The sequence below is a fragment of the Homo sapiens genome, chromosome 19 (genome assembly GCF_000001405.40).
Source record: "Homo sapiens chromosome 19, GRCh38.p14 Primary Assembly".
Lineage (NCBI taxonomy): Eukaryota > Metazoa > Chordata > Mammalia > Primates > Hominidae > Homo > Homo sapiens.
Genome location: NC_000019.10, coordinates 51,154,069 through 51,179,197, shown reverse-complemented (window position 1 = coordinate 51,179,197; position 25,129 = coordinate 51,154,069). Strand labels below are relative to the sequence as shown.

The following is a 25,129-nucleotide window of genomic DNA, read 5'->3' as shown; positions in this document are numbered from 1 at the left end:
CCAAGATCAGCTTTATTATTCCCATCTAATTACTGGGGATACCCATGTATTCTATCCTTTTCCCGGAACTACACCAATCCCTGGTTAATACCCATATCGAGTAAGGAGCCCAAGTCTGAGGATGAAAGCACACCCTGGAGGGTCTCAGTTACCCCTGACCAGCTTCATTAACCTAGGAAGTCACCAGACCCTTCCCTGGGCTCCTGCCACCTTTGCACTGGAGTCTGATCAAGGTTCTGCCTCACAACTCCCAGGGATGATGGTCCACCCACTAGGAGACATTCTGGCCCCTGGGAAGACCCAGGCAGGGGAGCTGTCACTGTGTGTGACAATTTGAGCTCAGATGCTTCCCAACTCTGCAGAAGGTCTTGAACCCAGAGGCTAGCGTCCTAGTCCTAGCCCAGAAGGGTAGAGGGGTGAGAAGCATCCAGGCCTGCTTGAGAGGGATGGATGGAGTCAGGGGTGTGGCAGACAATCAGGACTGGGTGGTGCTGGGTTCTTCTCTCTGGCCCCTTTTCCTACTGCTCCAGTTAACTCACAAGTAGTGTCCCTCCTGTGGACAGTGTCTGTCCATGCCACCTGGCTGAGCCACAGGGAAGGAGGAGGCTTGGTAAGCTCCTGTTTACTGATCTCTGTACTGCTCTTTAAATACCTTGCTTTATACCAGTCTCTCTCTCTCTCTCTCTCTCTCTCTCTCTCTCTCTCTCTCTCTCTCTTTCTCTCTGTCACACACACACACACACACTTCTGAAAGTGAGAGACTAGACTTTACAGTTGATAAAGGAGCAAACCGAGGGTCAGGAATATTAGACATTATGACTGGATCTCTTTTTCCAGTTCTGCCCACTGGTCTCAGTATCTCTGGGCTGGAAACGAGAGCCTCAGGCCTGATGGAGAATGATAGCGCTTCATGGCCACTTGTTTCTGGCTCACACTGATCCCCTTTTTGAGTGATGTGGGACTCTCCTGATGTTGTTGGTCGGGGGATCCCCTTCCACTCAGGAGAGGATGAACCTTAGGAGCTCGCCTAGCTGCCTTCTGCTGCTGGGTCAGGGGCTGTGAAATGATGAGTTGGGGTGTCCTCCCTCAGGTCGGGGGAGATGCAAGATCCCTGGCCTCTGTGTTGTTCCTCCAGTCATGGGGTCTTAAACCAGCTCAGCTTCTTCTTATCACACTTCAGAGTTCTCCTTTGGTGTCTCTTGAACCATCTACAGGATTTATAGTTTTGCTTAGAGGGTTGGAGCAGGGACAAAATGGGCCGATGTCATCTTGTCTGGACCGGAAATCTAATTGTAAACTTTTAATGTTTTAGCGGACAGATTGATCCCTATCACCAGCCAGCCGTTATCATAGAAAGACATGTGACTCAGCTGTCCCTTTGAGGGATAAGGGAGTGAGGTTTTGGCATCATGGCTTTTTAAAGCAACACCAGAATCTTCCATCTGTTTATTTAAGGGTCATTATGAACTTATGGCATAATGCGTTCACCCCGTCATGGTTTGGGTGCTGCTGGTTTTCTAAAAATGATTTTTATTATTTCACTTAGGCTTTTTAGGAAGGTGGTTAGAGCTTCTGCTTCCCTCTATCTTCTTGATGTAGACATCCACTTTTGAGGTCATTTTGAAAAATAAGAAGGTGTTAGCCTGATGGTGGCATGGTGACAGTCCTTCATGGAGGAGGGACGTGGATGCACACCCACAGGGAGAGATGCATCTGAATGGGGTCCACAGAGCATGGCTTGAGTGTAGGCTGTGCCATTGAGAAGTAGACTGAGTGAAATTCAGGGGAACCTAGAGTAGAGGCCAGCACACTACAGCCCGTGGGGTGCCTGTTTTAGTAAATATCATTTTGCTAGAACACAGCCATACAATTCGTTTGCAGATTGTGACTGCTTTGGTGCTACAATGGCAGAGCTGAATAGTTGCAACAGAGACCTTATGGCTTGCAAAGCTGAAAATATCTACTGTCTGGCCTTTTACAAATGAGGTTTGCTGATCCCTTACTTAGAATTTCACGTTGAGAAGCTTCAAATTCTTGTGGGTTGAGGAGCTAGGGAACTATTTTGACTGTGTTCAGCCCTGAGTTTTAGAAAATTCCCAAAGTGCTAATATCTGGCTTTGCCAGTAGCAGGACCTAAAGGAGACAGAAAATTTGACAGCAGACAGGTGAGATGGAAAGAAAAGATTCAGGAGTAGAGAGAGATGATGTTGGAGGGCAAGTCAGGGAAGACATCTCTGGTGGGGTTTTGAGCATCGAGTGAGACAGACATGTTGCTGATACAGTTTCAGGGATGAGACCATCACGACTCTGGACCAAATGTCACTATTGCCTTCTGTTCGAGGGGGAAGGAACCGTTATGCACCAAACTGTCACTATGCACCAGGAGTGGTGTTTTTCATGTGTAGCTTTATTTAATCCTCACAATATCTCTGAGATAGGACGTCTTGCACCCATTCTACAGAGCACAAAATGGAGACATGGAAGGTTAAGAAGCTTGCATGATATCATACACTTAGCAAATGAAAGAGCACAGATTTGATTCCAGGACTCCTTGCTTGAAAAGTCTAAGATGATGTTAGTATAGCAGGAAAGTTCCATAATGTCTATAAACCCATTGCCTGTGGGGTATTAAATCTCCAATAATCAGCCTTTGGCCCCCTGCCTATAGAGGATCTGGATCTTCTGGCTAAGCCTGATGCTCTTGTGGGTTCCTCACTGGGTCCTGACCTGTGAGTATTCAGTGGAGGTGCCCTTGGAAGGATTCATCCCATGAAAGCTGAGGGAAGCATAATGCAGCTCCTCACCCCATGGTGGGGGCAGCCCCTGAAGAGCTTCAGAGGTCAGAGGGGCCATGTAACTTGGACCTCTTCTGATGTTCCATGTGGAGAGAAAAGAAGTTGTTCAGAGCAGGACAGTGGGGAGGTGGCTGGACAGTAAGCAGAGAGAGTCCATTAAGAAAATTTGAACCTGACAGGATGTTTGTTTACTTTTCCATTTTTTTTCATCAAATGTTTCTGAATTAAGGCTCCACTTACTCAGTTAAGCAACACTGGTAACACTTATTGGTTGATACTTGGTACTTACAAAGGTCATACATCTGTTGAACCTGAGCTGAACCCCAGATCTCTGGGACCTCCTATGTGCTGGACACTGGATCCTCAGGAGGGAGCAAAGCAGACCAGAGCAGGGGTGGGGGTTGTGACTTCCAGTACTTGAGGGGATGAAGACAGAAACATACAGGTAATTGTAAATTTTGACAGTGTGCAGCTGAATAGGAGACAGTAGAATGATGGAGGCCTAATTAGATCTAACCATGTCCTTGTGGAGCTCACAGTGTGGTAGGGGAAGCCATGGGAATGCAGTTAACTCAAGGGGTGAAAAGCCCTACACAAACAGGGAACATAGTATCATGAGAGACACAAGAGCAGATGCTGCCAGAAATGGCAAGTCTACAGGGCACGACCATATTCTGCTGCAGGCCCATTTCTTGGTTCTAGATTTGGTGCAGTGTTTCTCCAAATAGTACTTGGCACTGACGGTTTCTGCCTTCTCTCCTTCCATTCTCTCTTGAACTCTTTCTAGTCAAGAGATCTTCCTCTACCAGGCAACCAGATCTGCTTTTGTCAATACCAGTTGTGATACAACTTAGCTAAATTCAAATAGTCGTTTCTCAAACCCTATCTTACCAGACTTACCAGCATTTGAAACAAATGACCAATCTCTCCTTGAAACTCCAGCCCCCGTTGGCCACCATCACCTGAACTTGCACTCTCCTGGTCACTCATTTCTCCTCAGCAGCTGCTCTATACAGTCTTCTTGCTGTTTCCACCTCTTCTCCCTGACACTAAATGCTGGAGGGTCCTGTGGCTGTGTCCGTGGACCCCTTCTCTTCTTTGTGGATTCGTCCATCATCAAACCTTAATGTGGAGGCTCCCAAACCTGTGTATCTCCCACCTGGACCCCTTTCCTGAACTTCAGACTCCTGCCTTCTACCTACAATCCCTACGTGGGTGGCTCGGGACCACCTCCAAATTACAGTAACCAAAACAATATTTGATCTACACTTAAGAATATTCTCCTCCTGCAGGGTTGGCAATTTTAGTTGTTGGCAGTTAAATTATTTAAGTCTCCATTCTGGGTAACCACATGGGCATCATCTTTGGCACCTGTGGGCATCTGTGACATCTATGGAGGTGTAATCAGACTCTCCATGATATTATTGAGGTCATGGATGTCTTCATGGATATCCATGACATCTATGATATCTGTGGACTCACCTGTGATATCTGTGGCACCTATCAAGCAGAGGCCACGAGCTATCTTTGCTCTTACCCTACGTGCACTCCGTCACTCCATTCGCAAATACTATTGGCTTCATCTTCAAGATGTGTCCAGAACCCAACTTCTCCACATGAGATTCATCATCCTTACCCAGGACTATGTCTGCGTCATCTCTTCACTGGATTCTCTGTATCCACTAATCTGGTCTCCTCTCATCTATACTTTCTCACACTGCAGCCTGAGTGACCCCACTAAAGTAAGTGTCATTTCATCTCACTCTTTTGCTCAAATGCATAAATAAGTATAATGGACTCAGGACACTGCAATATTTGTAGCCTCCATCTCTCTCCAACTTCATTTCCTACATTTCCTACCCACCTGTGCTCAGTTCTCATATCCCACATGACTCTGCTTTTTCTAAGCCTCTTTGCAGCTCACCATTCTCACCTCCTGTGCTGGGTAACCATTGATATGCTCTCTCTCATGGTGAGTTACTTTTGTCCACATGAGAATTTCCTAGAAATGTACTCATTTGTGTCTGTATTCTTTCATCTCAGCAGTAATATTTTTGGAAACTGAACCAAGTTGTTGAATGTGCATTGTAACATCTCCAATCTGGACCCCTCTCTTGAGCTCCTGACAGTTACATCCGGCTGTCTCCCTCCTAGTCCCATTCTGATGTCAGGTGGATTCTCAGAATTAATCATTCTCTAGGAAAGTCCTTCCCTCTTCAGTCCTCTATGGACAAAGCTCCTTCCTTCCAGGTGCCCAGGGGAACATTCCGGCCTCGTCCTTTGTATTGCCTTCCCCTCACTGAACACATAGTTAGCCTGTGATCCTTATTAGCTTGATCTTCCACACACATCCAAAAACATGTCCTCACCCCACCCTGCCTCGCTGGCTCAGCCCTCATCCCTCCTCCTGGAGGACCCAGCAGTGCCTTCCCCGTCTTCCTGTGGCTGCCATGACCCACTTGGGCCTGCTCTGACTCAGGCATTTGAGGTCAGAGTGAGAGTCCAGTTGTGTCTCTGCCCTTCCCAAAGGCTCCAGGCTCCTGTGCGCGCTGCAGCACCCCACGCAGTCTGCAGCTTCCTTCCTGCTGCTCCCTCCTTACCCTTCCTCTGCTCTAAGACATGGGGCTCTGGTTGAGCCCACAACCCCCAGGCCTGCTGCTGCCTCTGAGCAGTGCACTTGCTCTTCCCCTTATCCTTTTCCTGGGATGCTTTTCTCTTATTCAGACTCAGAGCCCGCCTCTTCAGCACCTTCACGTCTTTGCCTAAATGTCACCTCTTTCCACTATCAGATATAGAAACTGTTTCCCAGTATAGTCTGTGCTTATTTCCCTGTGTTATTTTTCTCTAAACAAATATCTCTATCCAACATGGGAAAAAATATTTTACTTATTTCTTTTTATTTGTATCCTTCTGCTCTTCAGAACAACAGCTTGATGACAGAGCTCTTTGAGTCTATATCTATTGATGAACTTCTTGCACATACGGAAATGCTGGCACATAGTCATTATATGTATTCAGTATGGTTACTGAATATGTCTACAAATTAATGAACAAATGCCACATCTCCGCTTAATATCATACAAGGATTACATAAAAATACACACACCTGGATGACATTTAAGACAACCTGAAGGATGATAAGGACCTGGATTGGCAGGAATGGGGAGGAAGGCCATTTCAGGAGAAGTAACTACACATGCAAAGTCTCAGAATCACAGAGGGCTTGGCCTGGTGGGTGTAGGGAGACTTCGGGTGATGCAAGGAGAAGGGGGATCAGGAGCAGAGTCCAGCAGAAGACAGATCGTGAAAGGCCTTCAGTCCAGGCAGTGGCATTTGCACTTCATTCTCCAGCAATGAAGAGGAAACATGGCCATTCAGACTGTGGAGGAACTGGATGAGGAGACATCTGGAAGTACAGTCTGGAGGCCTGTGTTGGGGAGAGATGGAGGCAGGAGGTGAAAAGGGTTCAGTGATCAGGGAAGAGGTGAGGCCGCAAGAATGACCAGGGTCAGGATGGAGAAAAGGGCATCAAGATGAGCCCTGCTTAGGAGAAGGAGGGACAAGAGCTAGTAATTTATGGGATCTAGAGAAGGGAGGGGGGTCAAGATGGAGACCCACACCCAGGTTCTGACTTTAGAGATGAGGCCTCTTTGTCATCTGCAGGATGAAGAACCCACATCCCAGGAAAAGTAGGTTTGAGGAGGAAGACAGTTGGCTTAACTTTGGCCATGATGGGCAGAGCAATCCTGGAGGCCATTGTGGAGGAGTTATCCAGCAGGATGTTGAAGAGTGAGAGGCCCACATCACTCACCTGAGAGATTAACCCATGACAGCATATACATTCTCCTCAACCTCCACTGCCCTCACCGCCTTCTTCTTGTGGAAACTGACATTGAGTGAAGAGACAAGGACCTGTAAGTGTGGCCACATGAAGGGAGCAAAGGGCAGCCAACTCAACTTCCTGTGCCCTGCTAGAGGCTGGAGGGATCACAGGGAGGAAGAGCAGGTCTAGACTTCCTTGATGACAACAGGAAGCTCCCCATCCTGGCATTTGGCCCTCAGTTGGGACAGACACAAACTGACCACAAATGGCCCATGTGTAATTCTCACCACCAATTCAGCCTCCAGCCTGGCCCCAGGACCACGTAAACTGTCTGCATACCCCCAGGATTGAGATTCTGGGATTCAGCATCATGTCCTCTGCCCTCCCCATGCCTGTCCTTGGTCTTCAGGCAGTGCTTACCTGAGGATGATGAGGCAAAGGCAGAGAAGCAGGATCTTCACAGCCACTACCCCCACGGCCAAAACAACCACCTCTTCCACGGTTCCTGATTTCCCTGCAAAAAGGTGGGATGAGGCCCATTCACCTGCTAAACCACAAACCATGTCCTTCCTCTCCCAAGACAACTTGGACATTGGTTCTTCAGATCCTTCCTGCATCCTTGGATGTGGTATCACATCAGCCCAGGGCTCATTCTAAGCTGTTCCCTGACTGTCCAGCAGTTGGAAGAAGAAATGATACATAATTTGGACTTTATCAAAATTAAAAACTATTTTGCATTGATTGGCACTATCAAGAAAGTGAATAGACAACCCACAGAATGGGAAAATACATTTGTAAAGCACAGATCTGATAAGGGTGTAGTATCCAGCATATATAAAGGGCATGTAATTTACAAACCACTCAAATTACAAACAACCCAAATTAACCTATTAAAAAGTAGACAAAGAACTTGAGTGAAAACTTCTCCAAAAAGATACAAATATCAATTGGTCTATGAAAATATGTTCAATACCATTTATCAGTATCTTAATGCCTATTGAAGCCACAATGAATTACTACTTCACATGCACTAGAAGACCATAGTTCTTTTAGAAAAGGAAAACGAGAATGTTCAAAAGAATATGGAGAATTTGCAACTCTGTACATTGCTGGTGCAATGTAAAGTGGTGCTGACACTGGATAACAGTCTGGCATTTCCTCAAAAAGTTAAACACAGAGTTACAATATGACCTAAAAATTACACTCCTAGGGCTATGCTCAAGAGAAATAAAAACATAGGTTCCAACAAAAAGTTGTACATGAATGTTCCTGGCAGCATTATTAGTAACAGTCAAAAAGTGTGAACAGCTCTAATGTCTATCAACTGAACAATGAATGAGCAAAACATGGTCTCTCCATACAATGGGATATTAGGTTTCAAAAAGAATGAAGTATTCATGCATAGTACTGGGGTGAACCTTGACAGCATTCCGTTATGTGAAAAAAAAATCAGACACAAGAGGCTGTTTTTTGTGTGATTCCACTTATATGAAATGTCCGAAATAGGCAAATCTGTAGAGACAGAAGGCAGATTAGTGCTTGCCAGAGGAGGGGATAATGGGAAGTGAGTGCTTAATGGGTACAGAGTGGATTTTTGAAGTAAAGAAAATGTCCTGGCATTAGATCATGGTTATGGTTGTACAATATGTGACTAAAAGCCAGTTTAGCATATAATTTAAAATGATTCAAATTGTGAATTTAATGTTATATGAATTTTATCTCAATTAAAAAGTGCATATAAATAAAAAAATTATATGGAGATAACAATTTTCACCTAATACTGGCAAAAAGCGAAAGCTTTCATTCCACATTGGGTTGATGAAGACACACTTTCGGCTGGGTGCGGTGGCTTATGCCTGTAGTCCAAGCACTTTGGAAGGCTGAGGTAGACAGATTGCCTGAGCTCAGGAGTTGGAGACCACCCTGGGCAACATGGTGAAACCCATCTCCACTAAAATACAAAAAATTAGCCGGGCGTGGTGGCAGGCACCTGTAGTCTACCAGCTACTCGGGAGGCTGAGGCACGAGAATTGCTTGAACCCATGAGGCGGAAGTTGCAGTGAGCTGAGACAACGCCACTGCACTCCAGCCTGGGTGACAGAGTGAGAGTCTCAAAAAAAAAAAAAGAAAAAAAGAAAAGAAAAAGAAAAGAAAACACTGTCACCCCATGCTGTTGGGGATGTAAACATATCCACCATTGACTGAGAACAATTTGGCCATATCTCTCAAAATCAGAAAGAACGTAAGACCCAGCTATTTTGCTTTAAGTAACTGATTCCACAGACATAGACATACACTGGCAAAGTAGATAGAAGACTGTTCAATCCTTTGTTTCTGTTGGTAGAAACATGATATTCCATTTCAAGAAGATATATACAGAATTAGGATCCAACTCTTCAATGGAACACTACACAGTCTGAGAGTGAGGATAGTCTGTGCTGCTGATACCAAACGACCTCTGAGATCCTTCCAGAGAATACACCAGGGCTCAGAGCAGCCAGGATGAACACTCTTTGATTCTGGGGAGGAGGACAAGCATCTGAGAACAGACTCTGCTATGGATTTAGCATTTTTGCCCATGCGATTGTATCACCTGTCCAGAAGTACATTAAACTACTGGGAAAAATTTAAAGTTGAGGCTGGAGGAGTATTTAGGAGGTAGATGATAAGGGGCTCAAAGGCTAGTCCTGCTGTATGAATATCACTCTGTCCTTATTGTGGGGCCAAGGGGTGTGTGTTTGGAGGAGTCTGTGGAGGAGTCTGCGGACAGGTGTGGGTGGCAAGCCACCCAGGTGCCGAGGCAAGAGACTGAGGGCACAAGCTGTTCCAGTGTAATAAAATATATAAAACCACAAGAGTTATACTAGATCAAGATCATAGACATGATTATACATGAATATCATTAATCATTAGTTTGTAGCAATTACTCCTTATTCCAATATTATAATAATCCTCGTTCTACAATTATAACCTAGGAAAAACCAGGCTATACAGAGATAGGTGCTGAAGGGACATAGTGAGAAGTGACCAGAAGACGTGTGAGCCCTCTGTCATGCCCAGAAAGGGCCACTAGAGGGCTCCTTGGTCTAGCGGTAACGCCAGCATCTGGGAAGACACCCGTTGCCAAGCAGACCGTGGTCTAGTGGTAGCGTCAGTGCCAAGGAAAAACACCCGCTACTTAGCAGACCAGGAAAGGGAGTCTCCGTTTCCCTGGGGGAGTTTAGAGAAGACTACTCCTCCACCTCTTGTGGAGGGCCTGACTCATGTCAGGCCCACCTGCAGTTATCTGGAGGCCTAACCGTCTCCCTGTGATGCTGTGCTTCAATGGTCAGGCTCCTAGTCCGCCTTCATGTTCCATCTTGTACACCTGACTCTGCCTTTTAGATAGCAGTAGCAAAATTAGTGAAAGTACTAAAATTCTCTGATAAGCAGAAATAATGGTGTAAGCTGTCTCTCTCTCTCTGTCTCTCTGCCTCGGCTGCCAGGCAGGGAAGGGCCCCCTGTCCAGTGGACACGTGACTCACGTGACCTTATCAGTCATTGGAGATGACTCACACTCTTTACCATGCCCCTTTTGCTTTGTATCCAATAAATAACAGCGCAGCCAGGCATTCGGGGCCACTACCGGTCTCCGTGTCCTGATGGTAGTGGTCCCCCGGACCCAGCTGTCTTTTATCTCTTTGTCTTGTGTCTTTATTTCTGCAACTCCCTCGTCTCCAAACATGAGAGAAAAACCTACCGACCCTGTGGGGCTGGTCCCTACAGACAGGTGCTCAGGTGTCCATGGGAGCTGAGGATAGGGAGGGTCCCTGAGTTGGCCAACAAGGAGTCTCTGGTTACCATGGTGAGTCAGGATGAGGCAGGAGCCCAGCTCTTCCCTGAGCTGAAGGCCCTGCTCCTCCAGCCTCCAGATGGGGACTCTGTCCTACCTGTGCCGTCTTCTAGGGAGGCTTCAATCACTGGGTTCATTAGAGGATCTAAGCCAGCAAGAGAGGATTTCTCATTTAGTTGGGGTGGGAGTGAGATGAAGGTAGGCGCTCCTCTAGAAGCCCGCAGAAATGGCAATTGACAGCTTGGATCCTTCTAGTTCCCCTACTCAGCAAGGCCTCCAAGACACAGCCACCAAGTGGCCCCAGTCCTGGACCTCCTCTCTCCTGGTCCTCTCCCCATTCACACCCTCAGGCACCCAGGCATCCTGGCCCCATCACTCACAGGAGACACTGAGCTGGATGGTTCTCTCCGTGGTCACACCAGCTCCGGGGAACGTCACCTGACAGATGAGGTTGGTGCCGTGGTCCTGAGGCCGTGGGATGATCGTGAGCACTGAGGAGTGGAGGGTCCTGGGGCCCAGGGAGGTGGGGGCAGCTGACATCCAGGAGAAGATGGGGGGTGTTCCCTGCTCACAGACCCAGGGCACAGAGCAGGTCAGGTTGCTGGGATGGCCAGACTTTAGGAACTCCGGGATGAGGATGTCGGGCCTGTGGGTCAGGGCTGTTGTGGACAGAGGTGGGGACGCAGGATCAGGAGGGGGATCCAAGGTGCAGCCCTGTGGGAAGCTCAGGCTCTGGTCCAGTTCCTCCCCTGAGCCTGACGTGCTTTATTCCCATCCCCATTCCAGGACATGAGTCCCATCTGAGCCCTTCCCAGTGGCCCCCATAACCTTCCCCTTGTGCCACTCCTGGAGCCCGTGCCTTACCTGTCACATACACAGAGAGCGGGGAATATTTGTAACTAAATTTTGTTCTTCCTCTCGCCACCCAAAAGAAGTATGAACCGTTGTCCCTCCTCCTGGCGTCTCTGATGCTCAGGGAGCAGTTGTTCCTTGAGGGATCACCGAGGAGGTGGAATCGGCCCTGGGTCTCCTTCTGCACTTTTTGAGTTGAGTTGTTTGTGGCCACTGGAGTCTCCTGGTCTACACTGACCCCTTCCCGGAACCAGTGGCCATAAGCAGGGGTAGAATCTTTCCAGCCATACTCGAGGTAGAAGACCGAACAGTGCACAAAGATGCACAGACCCTCCTGCACCGTCACGGACTCTGGCATCTCCAGCCGGAATCTTGCATCCTGAGCGAGGGCCCTGTGGAGACATGAGGGTCAGATGGGCTCATCCCCACGGCCCCTCTCCCCAGGGCCACTCACCTGCCCACAGCAGGGGCAGCGGCAGCAGCAGCGGCAGCATCTCTGAGGCAGAGGCTTCCTGGGCTTCCTGTGTGAGCAGAGAAGAGGGCTGTGGGGAGGAGCATGAGATCTTGGCAGTTCACAGAAGAGGAACCTCAAACCCACACGTGGTCAGAGGTCATCCGCCTCTGCACAGAGTGGAGGGAGACTGCAAAGCCAAGTGACCTCAGAGACCTGCCCAGAGGGGAGCAGAGAAGGAGCAGAGACCACTTCCTGCCTCCCACCTCGGGTCTTCCGTCCAATGCCAGAGCCTGGACCAGGACCTCTGGGGACATCTGAAGCATGGGACACCTGTGTCTAAAACCCTCTCACTCTGAAGTGTTTTTCTGTGAACCATTGTTTACGTCTGGGAACTGGTCACTTCTGGCCCCAGACAGTCACAGCCTCATCTTGAGCCATGAGATAGTCGATCCTGCAGGATGTAGGATTCTGTAGGGTCTATGGGAGTGTCTGGGACTGAAAAAATGAAGAGTGGTCCTAGGTGCAGTGAAGGTGACAGCCATTCATTCATTCACCAAATATATAGTGAGCATCTGTATGTAGGTGGGGATGGAGAGAAGAAGAGATAGCACTGACCTGGCCCCTACCCTTGAGATGGTCCCTATCCATAGCCTCATGTCCTTAGCACACACACACTGTCTGGCTTTAGAGCTGCGGACACTGATGAGTTTGCCATGTGTCATGGTAGCATATTGGGTATTTTTAAAGAAATGTGACTATAGAATTTTTCCCTGATAAATAGTATACAGATTTGCAGTTTCAATGACACCTCCAAAATAAGAACCATGCAGCATCTTCACGTAAAACATAAAGAAGGACACATGTTCTATGAACCAGTGTAGAAGAAACTCCTTTTCGGTTAATGCTGCCTCTCAGTGTAGTGTGGGCAGGAGCGATTTTTTTAAGGTCCTCATCATAGAGATTAGCATTTCCTTTCATGAAAAAATGTGCTTCTCACAGTTACATGTGGCCCAAAGACAATATTTTCCGATAATATGAGGGGAATATACAGACAAAATTAAAATTTCAGGCTTAGTTTTTATGTTTATGACTATTTGTCTTTCGTGAGTTGCTTGTTTGGGCATTAATTGTCTTGTTGGAATTTAGTTTTTCACAGGTTTCCTAACCCTCTTGCTCCCTCTTGTTTGTCAGAAGTCTCAGACAGGCCAGGCGCTGTGGCTCAAGCCTGTAATTCCAGCACTTTGGGAGGCTGAGGCGGGTGGATCACGAGGTCAGGAGATCGAGACCATCCTGGCTAACACAGTGAAACCCTGTCTCTACTGAAAATACAAAAAAATTAGCCGGGTGTGGTGGCGGGCACCTGTAGTCCCAGCTACTCAGGAAGCTGAGGCAGGAGAATGGCATGAACCCGGGAGGCAGAGCTTGCAGTGAGCCGAGATCACACCAACGCACTCCAGCCTGGGCAACAGAGCTAGATTCTGTCTCAAAAAAAAAAAAAAAAAAAAAAAAAAAAAAAATCTCAGACAATGTGATCGTGCTGATCTCTTATGTGAGATTTGGAAATCTGCCTTCCTAGATCCTGTGGCACAGATTTGACTGTACCCAGCTATCACCTTCCTGACAAGCACACAACTAAATGTCCTGGCCCATTCTGTTTATAGATAAAAATAATTTTAGGTTCAGTGACATGATTTTCCATCTCATCTGGCAAATCCTCAAAATCCAGGGCATAATAATATTTGGTACCATATATTAGTAAAATCTTTGTAACAGTATTATCTAGGTAAATGTTCATTTGTCCTTGCTAATGTAGACAGCCATTTGCATTCTTAATATATAAGGAATTGAGTCTTTAATAAGTAACATAATACCTTGTAAGTTCTTCTAAAAATAAGAATGTAGCACATAATAGGAATGCAATAATTTGGTCTTAATAGTAAAGCAAATTATATTGTATTTATGGGTCAGAATGTTAAATATGAAGATGTGAATTTCACTGGATGTATTTAGTGAACTTTATTAGGCATAATTTACATGAAATAAAATGCACACACCTGAAATGTTCATTTCAGTGAGTTTTGATAAGTGTATGCAGCCCCGCTGTGACTGCCACAGTCAAGATACACAACACTTCTTCCACTCTAATGGTTTTCCATGTTTCTTTGCAGCTCACCATTCCCATCGCGTATGCTGGGAAATCATCAATATACCCGCTGTCATGGTGAGTTAGTTTGTCTACTTGAGAATTTCCTAGAAATATACTAAAAAATTGTGTCTGTATTCTGTCACTCAGCAATCATTTTTTGAAACTGAGCCAAGCTGTTGTATATGCCTGTAGTTCACAATGTGTTATTGCTAAGTAGTATTATCTTTTATTTACTCACCTATTGATAGACGTTTAAGATTTTCCAGGTTTTTTCTATAGGTATCCAAGTAGAAGTCTTTTTATAGACATGTTTTTATACTCATTTATACACAAGATGTGGAATTTTTAGTTCAAATAATACCTGCATATTTAATTTTTGTAGGAATTGCAGAATCGTTATCCAAATGGCTTTGACTTTTACCACTACTCCCAGCCATGCACCAGAATTCCGGTAGCTGTACACCTTTATTAACACTTGGTATTGTCAGTCTTTATATTTTAACAATTCTAGTGAGAGCGTAGTGTCATCTCTAGTGTATTTTGAATTTAGGTACCATCAATTTCATCAACTGAGTATTTCTCATATGCAATTATTTGAGGTTTGACAGATGTATGTAGCTATATACCCACAACCACAGTCAAGACACTACCAAGTGCCATTACTTAAAACATTCCCTCCTGATGTTCCTTGGTAGGCAACTGTCCCTCCCTATTTAATTCCTGTAAAAACACTAATCTATTCTCTACCCTACTGATATGCCTTTTAAAGAATGTCATATAAACGGAATCATTCAAAATGTAGCCTTTAAAATCTGGATTCATTCACTTGGTTTAATGCATTTGGGGCTCGTCCATGTGATGGGGTGTTGTTTTTAAATTGCTGACTCATACCTCACTGTTTTCATAGATCCCCATTTTGTATACATTTACTGGCTGGTGAACATTCATATTGTTTTTAGGTTTTGGTGACTGTAAAGTAAAACTAGTATAAATATTCACATGCAGATTTCTGTGTGTGGACACTAGTTTTTTTATTTCTCTTGGGTAAATACCTAGGAGTCGGGTGCTTGGTCATATGTGTAAGTTCGAATTTATAAGAAATTGCCAAACTGTTCTCCAAAGTGGGTGTACCATTTTACATTCCCACCAGCAGAATATATGAGTTCTGGTTGCTCTACGTTTTCATTAACATTTGGTATTATCCGGATTTAAAAAAAAATTTCTTTGGGTTTTGTTTTGTAGCCATTCTAATAGGTATGTACTGCTACCTCATTCTGGTTCTAATCTGTGATTTCGTAGCAGCAAATGGTGTTGAGAATGCTTTCATGTGATTATTTGCCATCAGTTTTTCTTATTTGGCGAGGAGGCTGATCAAATATTTAGTGCTTTTTAAAATTTGTGTTAAAATATACATTAAAAAATTACAATTTTAACCATTTTTCAGTGCACAGGTAAGTGGCACTAAGTACATTCACACTCTTATGCAATTATTAATCATTGATCTCCAGAAATTTCTTCATCTTGCCAAATTGAAACTCTATACCAACTAAATGATAACTTCCTATCCCATCCTGCCCCCAACCCATGGCAACCAACTTTCTACTTTCTTTGTCTATGAATTTGAGCACCTCTGGGAGATTGTGGGTAAGAACTGAGAAAAATTCTTCTTCTCCAGATCCATTTCTCTGTTCCTTTTTGTGTTTCTGCAACATGACCTCAGTTCTCTCAGGAAGCCCCAAAACCTGTGAAACTAACCTGTGCTTGCAGCTCTGCTTGCTGCCAGAAACAAAGGCTGGGAGCCAGCAACAGGAACCAGCCAGGGGATGAGTTCAGCCCAGACGTGCTGCCTGGACCTGGATTCCTGCCTCAGTGCAGGCCTTGACCTGATTTCTTGCTTCATTACCATACTAAAATCTCCACTCAGGGGCGAGAACTATGCCTTGCTAGGCACAGAAGGTGCCAAGTACAAAAGAAAACACAAGAGTGTGCACACTTCAGCCCCTCCTGAAGGAACCCACCTTTTTCCAGATCTGCCCGCCTCAGTCTCCAACTACCTGCCCTAAGGGCCCTTAAGATCCCCTTTTACCAACCCCTGGGAGAAGGTGCTTTGCACATGAACTCCCTTTCTCCATTTCTTGATCAATGAATAAAGTTTCTTCTCCGCTTTGCCGATTCTGGTCTCATTCTATTGGCGTAAGTGGCAGGGGGCAGAGAAAGGACCCACTAGGGCCAACTCACCCCTCCAAGGGTGGGTAACATTTGCAGCAAAACTCCTCAAGAGGTTGTTTGTCGTCACTCTTCCTACCTTCCTTTCTTCGGTTATTTTCCAAACGAGCTTCCAATCAAGTCCCCCACCCTTTCACACATGTTCATCAAAGCTGCCATTGCCAGTTATCTCAGACGTAAACAAAATCAACTCAATATGGATTAAAGATGGAAATGTAAGGCCTGAAACTGTAAAACTCCTTGAAGAAAACAGGAGAAAAAGCTTCTTGACATTATCTGGGCTCAGATTTTTTTAGATACTGTAAACTAAAAATAAAATCCTAAGCCCTGTAATCAACTGAACAGACCCCCTCTTGGCCAAGGGGACCCCAGAAAAATCTTAAAAACTGAGTTGCTGCTACAATGGGACGAGAGGTCAGACACACCTCATTATAGCCCCTTCCTTTTGCAGTTGAGATGCAGCAACTGATTAACCTTAATATGGAAATGGAGATCATAAGACTGGCAGAACAGACTCTGTGGCAATGAGATACCAAATCATATACAAAACCTAAGGCCATGCCAGGCAGGGGTTAAATTACACACCCCCACACTTAGAGAATAAACTATGTTCTAACTGCCACAATATGTTTATTTTTCTCTGGTAGCTAAGCAAGCACTGGTCTCAATATAAGTAATATTAAAACAATATACAGCTCACCAGCAGACACTGACCCCACACCCTTGTGACTGGACAAAAGACTGATTTCAGTAACTTTCTCTTGATAAGAACATGGAGCATGGACTGGTTATGGCAGGTTTTACAGAGGCTGCGCGCTTGAGGGCTGCTGTGTCCTCCAAAGACCTTTTGACATATAGGGCCTAATTGTAATACGTTTACATGGTAAGTCTCTACCCTAAGGTGAACATGGATTACATGTAACATGCGTGTTTGTTCAATATGCTTGGGTCAAAACCCTTTCATGAATATTCAAAGCTCCTTCTGTAACCTGTTGAATATGTATACTTGGCCAGCCCATTCAGCTTAAATTCCTGTCTTTCTCCTCCCTCCCTTAAAGTGCTTGTCTCTGAGCCTCTTCTGCAGGCTCTGCTTCCCAGCCTGTCTGGATGGCCACCTTGCAGGCTGTAATCCTTTATAAGAAATAAAGCTCTTTCTTCCAAATTGGTAATTGTGTGATGTTTAAGTTAACACCACCAAACCACAGGCAACAAAGGCAATAATAGATAAATGGAATTTCATCAAACTAAAAAGTTGTTTTAGTTTGTTTCTGCATGGCAAAAGAAACAATCACAAAAGAGTGAACAGACTACTTATGGAAAGGGAGGAGATATTTGCAAACCACACATGTGGTAAAAGGTTAATATTCAGAATATATAAGGAACTCAAACAAGTTGAGTTCAACAGCAAGAAAACAAATAATCTGATTTGAAAAGGCATGATGGACTTGAATGGCGAGTTCCCCAAAGACACAGAAATGGTCAACAGGCAGAGAAAAAATGATCAACATCACCAGTCATCAGGGAAATGCAAATCAAAACCACAATGAGACATCACCTCATACCTGTTAGGGTGACTATTATCAAAAAGATTGAAGATAACATATGTTGTCATGAAAGCACCAATGACAAATGTGTGTCCTCCTCTCTGCCTGTCTTCACCCCTTCCTTACCTCATCTGTGGTCATCACTACTCCAGCTGTGCATTGAAACATCTTCAGCTTGGACCCCTCTCCTGAACTCCAGGCATTTGCATTCAGCTGTCTCTGTTCTGTTCCCATTTGGATGTAAGGGAGATTCTCAGAATTATCGCCCCTGAAAGCCTCCCCTCTGAAGTCCTCTATGGACACCGCTCCTTCCCTCCAGGTGCTCAGGGGAACATTCTGGCTTCATCCTTGGTCTTGCCTTCCCCTCGCTGACCACATCCATTAGAAAACTCTGTGAGCACGACCTTCCACACACATCCAAAAGCATATCCTTACGCCACCCCTGCCTCCCTGGTTCAAGCCCCTATCCCTCTTCCTGGAGGACCCAGCAAGCACCTTTCCAGTTTCTATGTGGCTGCCATGACCCACTTGGGCCTGTTCTGTCCAGGGAAGCCGAGGGGTTCTGTTAGAGTGAAAGTCCAGTCTAGTCTCTGCTCTGCCTAAAGGCTCCAGGTTCCTGTGTGGCCAGCAGGGCCCACCCAGTCTGCACCATCCTCCCCTCTGCTCCCCTCCTCTGCCTTTCTCTCCTCTCATACGTGGGCCTGTTTGTGTCCACAAATAAATGTAACCTAACTTAAATGAATGCAGACTTTTTATTTCCATCACACATATATGCCTCTTAAACAATAAGTATTATTTTCTATATTATTCATCACTTATTTGTATTTAATAATGATGTCTAATAATGAAAAAATGTTTAACATTCTGTTCTGACAATAGTTTACATTTGTGACTTTAAAGTTTTTGTATGCTTTATTTTTGGAACAGCTAGAAGAAAATAAATCATTTCAATTTTGTATTTAATGTTCCAGCTTATAGACTCTGACATATGAATCCATATCCAAGGTTATGGATGCAGGTAAACTGATCAAGTGTCTGCTGAAAAACAAGAGAATTTTTATGCCTAAAAATTTGGGGGATGTTCTCTGGGGTTCTGGTGATATTAGAGTTCTGAAATAGATATGACCTTTTTTAGAAAGTATTGGAAATTTATGTTTAAAGAAATTTATCCCAGTATTTAAAATTATTTTTAAGATTTTAAGTTTTTTTCTGAAATGTTTTAATGTAGGAGGAAGGAAAGTTAGTGCCCCATTTTAAAATAAAAGTCTTAGCTGCAGCTAGCAAAAATACAATTTATGTTTTAAGAGTGTACAAAATGAATAAACATAGTCTCTTTCATTCTTTCCTATTTGGAAGTTATTCTGATTACTCCAAGGAAGGTTTAAACTCAAAAGGAAAGGTGGGCTCTAAGGGAACCGTTGTGAGATGCACAAATGTTCCGGTATAGAGTGTGAGTTAATCAAACAAGGAATTTCTCTTAGTTATCATTGAGAATGTGAGGTGCGTAGAAAAATAACTTCTGATGAATAAGAAAGAGAACATGAATGTACATACAAAAATCCCTTTCTTGCTGGGCAAAAAGCCCATTTGAATTGTTTAGGAGGATCGGCAGCATTGAGTGGATGGGATTGTGTCTTCTCTGGAGACAGGTTTGCATGTGGAGATGACATCATCACTTATCAGGACAGATTTTTGAAGACTCACAGCCCTTGACCATTTGCTGGCTTCATGATCGCCATCTCCAAAGGGCTGTGTAGCAGCTCTCATGGCCTTTCCCACAATGTGTACATCAGGCAACCTCAAGGAACCACATAATGGAATTAATGTTCATATAAAAATCATAGTTGTAGTTGGGCACGGTGGCTCATGCCTGTAATCCCAGCACTTTGGGAGGCCAAGGCGGGCAGATCATGAGGTCAGGAGATTGAGACCATCCTGGCTAACATGGTGAAACCCCGTCTCTACTAAAAATACAAAAAAATTAGCTGGGTGTGGTGGCGGGCACCTGTAGTCCCAGCTACTCGGGAGGCTGAGGCAGAATGGTGTGAACCCAGGAGGCAGAGCTTGCAGTGAGCCGAGATCACACCACTGCACTCCAGCCTGGGCGACAAAGACTCCATCTCAAAAAAAAAAAAAACACAAAAAAACCCCATAATTGTTTCCCTCCAATATTACAGCATGTTTTTTGTTTGTTTGTTTGTTTTTCACTTTCAAAGGGAAAAAATGCATTGACTTCTGTTGTCTGGGAAATCTGAGGGGTAGACCTGGTTTTAAATGTGACTGGATTTCAGGGTCAGATGATAGAAAGGCCCATCTCGCTACTTGGTTTTGGCTCTTGTTTTTGTTTGTTGTTGCTGCTGTGGTTGTTCATTTATTCTCCCTGGTTTTTGTTCTCAGGCTCATAAAGGTAGGAGCTCTGATGTCCACTTTGCAGATAAGGACACTGAGGCACACAGAGATCAAGTAATTCTCCTTCTGAGACAGAGTCCATGGACTTCCCACTGCCCCATGACACTTGGTTATGTCTGTGCAACCAACTCAACAGTCTCTGCCATGGTTAGGGCGCCCCCTGCTGCTCACCCAGAGAGTTGCAGGGATCACTGCACCAATCTTCTCCACCCTCTTTGACCCCCAAATGCTTCCTGACACCTGACTCCCACCCATTCAGAGACTAACCTATGTCAAGATTTACAATCTCACCGAACAGGAATGATAACTACAGGAAGTAGTTATTATTTAATGTTATTAGTAATGTTATTGCTATTGTTAATGTCATTATTATTATTTCTCCATTTCACTTCCATCTTCTCTGGAAGCTGATTCGGGGCTCCTGCCTCTCACCTTTTCTATCCACTTCTTATCCCTTCCCCCAGGAGGTTGTAGACAAAGATTAGTGCTGATGCATCGTGCAACTCCATGGCTCCCCCTGGTGGTGTGATGCATTTGGGGGTGATGGGGTTTGCTCACACAGCGCTGCAAGGACGCGGGTAGGGACCTGTCAGAAATCTACCTTGTGTATAGCTCCTCAAAGATCCCAGGTTAACATTCCTTGTGATCTTCAAGCCTGAAAGACAGGAAGGAGTCACTGTTCATTAGTGTCCACTCTGGCTGTGCCAGGCAAAACTTTGCCCTGGGAGGAACTGTGACGTTTTGCTCTCTTGATAAGAAGGTACAAAGCTGAGCTCCAGAAAGAGATTAAAGGCTTTGGGGGGCTGCTCCCGAAGCTGCCTCCTGCCCCTAGGTGAGCACTGGGTGCTACCACTCCTGACTGGAGAGACAGGGTTTCAGACAAGATTCTCAAAGTCATGGGGGATCCTGGATGAGATGGGCCAGGTATAGTTCTGGGGTTTGCTTGAGAGAATGAAAGTGAGTCCCTGAAGGTCGAGGTGCCCTCCAAGCCTACACCCCCCTCCTGAGAGCAGGGTCCTCATGAGGGTCTCATTGCATGAGACAGTCAGGGTCATGCCACGGACTCTGTCTGAATGAAGCCACTTCTGCCATATTCATCCTGACTGTTCAGACCAGGCATCACTGGCCGTGCACAGTCTAGATGGAGGGAGGGACATGTTTCTGCAGGGACTTGGCACAATGCTGTGTCTAAAAGGAGTGCTCCATGTTGGTGCAGCCAAATAGAGCTGATGAGATGCTCTCTGTGGCCGTGGTTGCTGGTTTCTTCTCAGTATTCATTCCCTCTTTTTCCTTAGTAATAAGGACCTCAGACACAAGAGCCTAGCTAAGAAGGATTCCACGTTTTACGTTCTCCACTTGCTTCTGAAGTTAAGCATCACAACAGCCCTATGAAGAGGAAACATTTCATATCTTCATTTTACAGGTGTAGAAAGAGGCTTAGGGGAGGGAGGCAACTTAACTGAGATCACATGGGAAGTAAGTGGCAGTGCTTGGTTCAAACCAGGCAGTGTTGCCAGGAATCCTTTCTATCCTCAAACGACCTGCACAGCCTTTAATCCAGCAGTCCTGAGTAGTTAGGGAGCAATTCACAAGACTGCCCTCACTTCTGATGCCAGCTGCACATTGGGGAGTCCCTGACCACATTCAGTTTTGATAGTTCACTAGTAGGACTCAGAACTCACTGAAAGCTGTTATCCTCATGTGATGTCTCATTACAGCAAAAGGATACAGATTAAAGTCAGCCAAGGTGAGAAGAGCATGGGGCAGGGTCCAGGGAATTCCGAATGGGGAGTTTCCAGTTGTCCCCTCCCAGTAGAATCATAGACTGTGGTAATTCCTCCTGACATGACATGTGACAACATGCATAGAGCATTGCCAACCAGGGACACTCACCTGAGCCTTGATGTCCTGGTGTGGCTTTGTCACATAGATGTGGATAACTGTCTACATGGCTGACCTTAGTTTCAGCTGCTCCACAGATAGAGCTGATACCAGTGACCCAAAGTCCTATCGTTAGTTATATTATTAGACTATTTGGTGAAGTCCAAGGCTTTCAGGTAAACAAAGACACTCTAATCAGGTGAGACATTCCAGGGACTTAGAGGTTCCCTCCCAGTAGCTGAGAGCAAAGGCCAGGCCTCTTTTTGGCAGGGTTCAGCTCTTTGCCACACAAGTCCACCTCTGGGACTCACCACGGATCTGCAAATGGGACTAGGCCAGAGACATCCTGGGCCAGCCTGCAGCCAGGTTGGTCTGGGTTGGAATCAGCTCCAGCTCTTGAGCTCTGTGGACTTGGGAGCTGCCCTCACTACTCAGAACTGATGCACTCAAATGTGAAATAGGGACCCCAGTCCTCACTTCTCAGATTAGAAATGGTCAGTGTGCCTTTGCTGAGGTCTGCTTTTGTGTAAATAGGGGACTACTTAAAACCAATTATTTTTTAAATTGATGTTCAGTTTATTAAGTGTTCAAACCCCTTGACCCTTCAAATTCCACTCATTGATTTCTTTCTTCTTTTCTTGTAAACTTACTATAGTCACTGTCACTCTCTTTTACTGAAATTGAACAGACTGTGCTCCCTTAAACAGAGAGTTTGATTTAAAGAGTCAGTTATACATTCCATACATTCTTTTTTCTTTATAGCCCTTCAGCTGCCTACTGGGGCAAGTTCACAACCCAGCAAGATCCTCACAAATTCTCGGACAGCTCTTGGAAATCTAATCTACTGAGCTTATAAATACATCAACACTTAGATTCTTCCAGTGTTCCAGGTGTGTTCACAGAGTTTATCAAACTCTTCCACATCTTTCACCTGAAAAAAATAATCACACTTCTAAAATCACCTTTACATCTCCTTCTGGAAACACTTTAGTGGTGTGTTAGATTTCCTAATGCACAGGCTATGGCGCCCATTGTGTGGAAGCTGGGGTTGAAGCGTGAAGGATTTCTGATCTCCATACAGCTGTTTACAGGTCAGAGGCTTGGAACCAAGACCCAGGATCCAGAGGCTTCAGCTGCTCAGGGCGGTTGCCCCCAGGCCCTGAGACTGGCTCAATCCTTCTGTGTCAGTTGCAGTCATGAAGTCCTAATCCTCTCCTCCGAGCCTCATTGTTTTCCATCTATAAAATGGATCAATAGTGGAACCAATCACATGAGTTGTTCTGGGAATTCAACAAATGTGGGGACAGGCACAGAGCTTAGAACAGTGTCTGGCACACAGTAGGCCCCATGTGTTTGCTTTTACTCCAATGATTTTATTACGAGGTAAAGGGCTACCATGGGGCTGGCCCCTAGTAGGTCCCTGATCATGGCAGGTGCTCTTATTATGGTTATTGTTGTTGGCACAGCTGCCTTGCCTGGGGCAGGTCTAGGGGTCAGCTCAGGGTGCACAGTGGGGAACCTCTTGGCTGGAGGAGGACCTCATGAGGTGGTACCCAGGACCCCAAAGGGTCAGAAACACAGCCTCAGGCCTCCTTCCCTGTCTCTGCAGATGGGCCTGACTATCTGCTGCTGAGGGGCAATCCTGATGCCTTCAATGGCATCGTGACGGCTGAGATCGGCTCCCAGGTGGAAATGGAGTGTGTCTCCTATTCTTTCCCAGATCTCAAGTACTGCTGGATCCACAACAGCTCCTTCCTAAACTTCTCATATGCAAAGTTGTATCTCTTGAGTCTGGCCTGGTAGCAGATGGGCACTTACCAATGCACTGTGGAAAACCCCGTGACACAGCTGATCATGTACATGGACGTCAGGATCCAGGCCCCCCGTGAGTGCAGCAGCTCCCGTCCAGGCTCATGCTCTGCACATCTCCCTGCCTCCATGCCCTGCTAGGCAGTGCCCACCCTCAGGAGTGCCACCTCCACCCTGCCATGACATGCTCACAACCTCTGGGTGAAATCTCCCAGTCCTCTCAGGTCTGGGTCCAAAGATGCCTCCTCTATGAATCCTCTGGAGTCCTCAGATCAGAGTCAGGGTGAGTCACAGGGGGATAAGGGGGATAAGAGTGGTGGACATTAGCTGTGCACTTACCATGTGCCCACCACCATTCTAACCTGCTTGACCCTCACTGTCTCTCTATGGAGAAAGTGAATGTGATTAGCCTCACCTCCACTTTACAGGTGAGAAAACTAAGCCCCATGGAGTTTGAGTATTTTATTTAAGGCTTCAGTGCTAACCCACAGAAGAGGTGGGATTCAAGCCCGGGCAGGCCGAACCCACAGCCTGTGGCCTCAACTGTTCCCCTCAGCTCCCTCCAAGATGAGGAATTAGAAAGATGCAGGGATGGGACGGGATTTTGTCATAGCTCCATGACCATGACAAATCTCTACTCCCCACAAATTTCACCAAGCTCTTGGCTTGATTCTTGGGCCTCTAATAACAAAAGATAAACAAGCTGCTCTCCCTGCCCCCAGGGGTAATAATAACTAACCTAATTTCCAGAGTTGATGGCACGTCTTATGGCATGACATAACAGTGTGAAATAAATTATTATTATTAACTCCATCATTGTTGTTACTTACCCCTGGTAATTGCGCCAACAGTGTCAACTCCTTCCTCAGCTTCACCCGGCCTCTTTCCCCCACACAATGGCGTCTGCCTCCTGTGCCCTTGGAAATCTTTAAAAGTATGAGGATGTTGAGGACTCTCAGTGGAGAGGTGAAGACCGCAGACCATCTCCTCTACCTCCTAGGGTCCCACATGGGGAGGGCTTGGGCTTGGACTTGGCAGGAAGTTGGGCCCCTTCACCTCTCTACCCAGGACTCTCCCGTGTTTCTTATGGACCTGAGATGTGACTTCTTCCCTGATTTCTCCCCATAGGGCAAATCAGGCTGCATGTCCTCAGACCCGAGGACAAGACCAGAGGGGCAAGCAGGTGAGGAGAAGGTGATGGAGAAGGGCTGGGGTCTCCATAGGGCCTGTGAGGCTGGAAAGGGTCCAGGGTCCCTCTGGAGGGGACCAGCAAGAGAGGGACCCAGCCCAGTCACACCAAGGTCCGGAGATGGGGGCTCCTGGCGGAGGTCTGCAGACCCAACCAGGGCCCTGGGGAT

The 25,129-nt window shown here is 45.8% G+C and overlaps 1 long non-coding RNA gene and 1 pseudogene across 4 annotated transcripts in view, besides 2 other annotated features; one reads left to right on the top strand and one right to left on the bottom strand.

Moving 5' to 3' along the window:
- LOC101928517 (uncharacterized) overlaps nucleotides 1-25,129 on the top strand; it is a 29,044-nt gene that overhangs the window by 2,769 nt on the left and 1,146 nt on the right. Inside the window, exons 2-4 of the long non-coding RNA NR_110732.1 lie at nucleotides 13,925-13,977; nucleotides 22,725-22,852; nucleotides 24,900-24,954. This is a non-coding gene — a long non-coding RNA (uncharacterized LOC101928517). The remainder of the gene's footprint in view (nucleotides 1-13,924; nucleotides 13,978-22,724; nucleotides 22,853-24,899; nucleotides 24,955-25,129) is intronic.
- On the bottom strand, nucleotides 5,674-11,870 carry SIGLEC17P (sialic acid binding Ig like lectin 17, pseudogene; annotated as a pseudogene). Of its 3 annotated transcripts, NR_047529.2 has the most exons (7): nucleotides 11,757-11,870; nucleotides 11,315-11,694; nucleotides 10,831-11,109; nucleotides 10,548-10,595; nucleotides 7,039-7,132; nucleotides 6,607-6,681; nucleotides 5,674-6,222 (listed from the first exon to the last, which is right to left on the bottom strand). The product of NR_047529.2 is annotated as a sialic acid binding Ig like lectin 17, pseudogene, transcript variant 1 (transcript). The 3 variants fall into 3 exon arrangements; NR_047530.2 differs by lacking the exon at nucleotides 10,548-10,595 and having other exon boundaries at nucleotides 6,607-6,707; NR_047531.2 differs by lacking the exon at nucleotides 10,548-10,595.
- Nucleotides 9,552-9,846: a silencer, noted in NCBI's record as "tiled region #7523; HepG2 Repressive non-DNase unmatched - State 13:Ctcf". NCBI's record gives its function as "represses a minimal TATA promoter and a strong SV40 promoter by Sharpr-MPRA in HepG2 cells {active_cell/tissue: HepG2}" and the evidence as "EXISTENCE:reporter gene assay evidence [ECO:0000049][PMID:27701403]".
- Nucleotides 21,455-21,653: a silencer, noted in NCBI's record as "fragment chr19:51660802-51661000 (GRCh37/hg19 assembly coordinates)". NCBI's record gives its function as "represses an EF-1alpha promoter that drives an FKBP-Casp9 reporter gene in an ReSE screen in HepG2 liver carcinoma cells {active_cell/tissue: HepG2}" and the evidence as "EXISTENCE:reporter gene assay evidence [ECO:0000049][PMID:32094911]".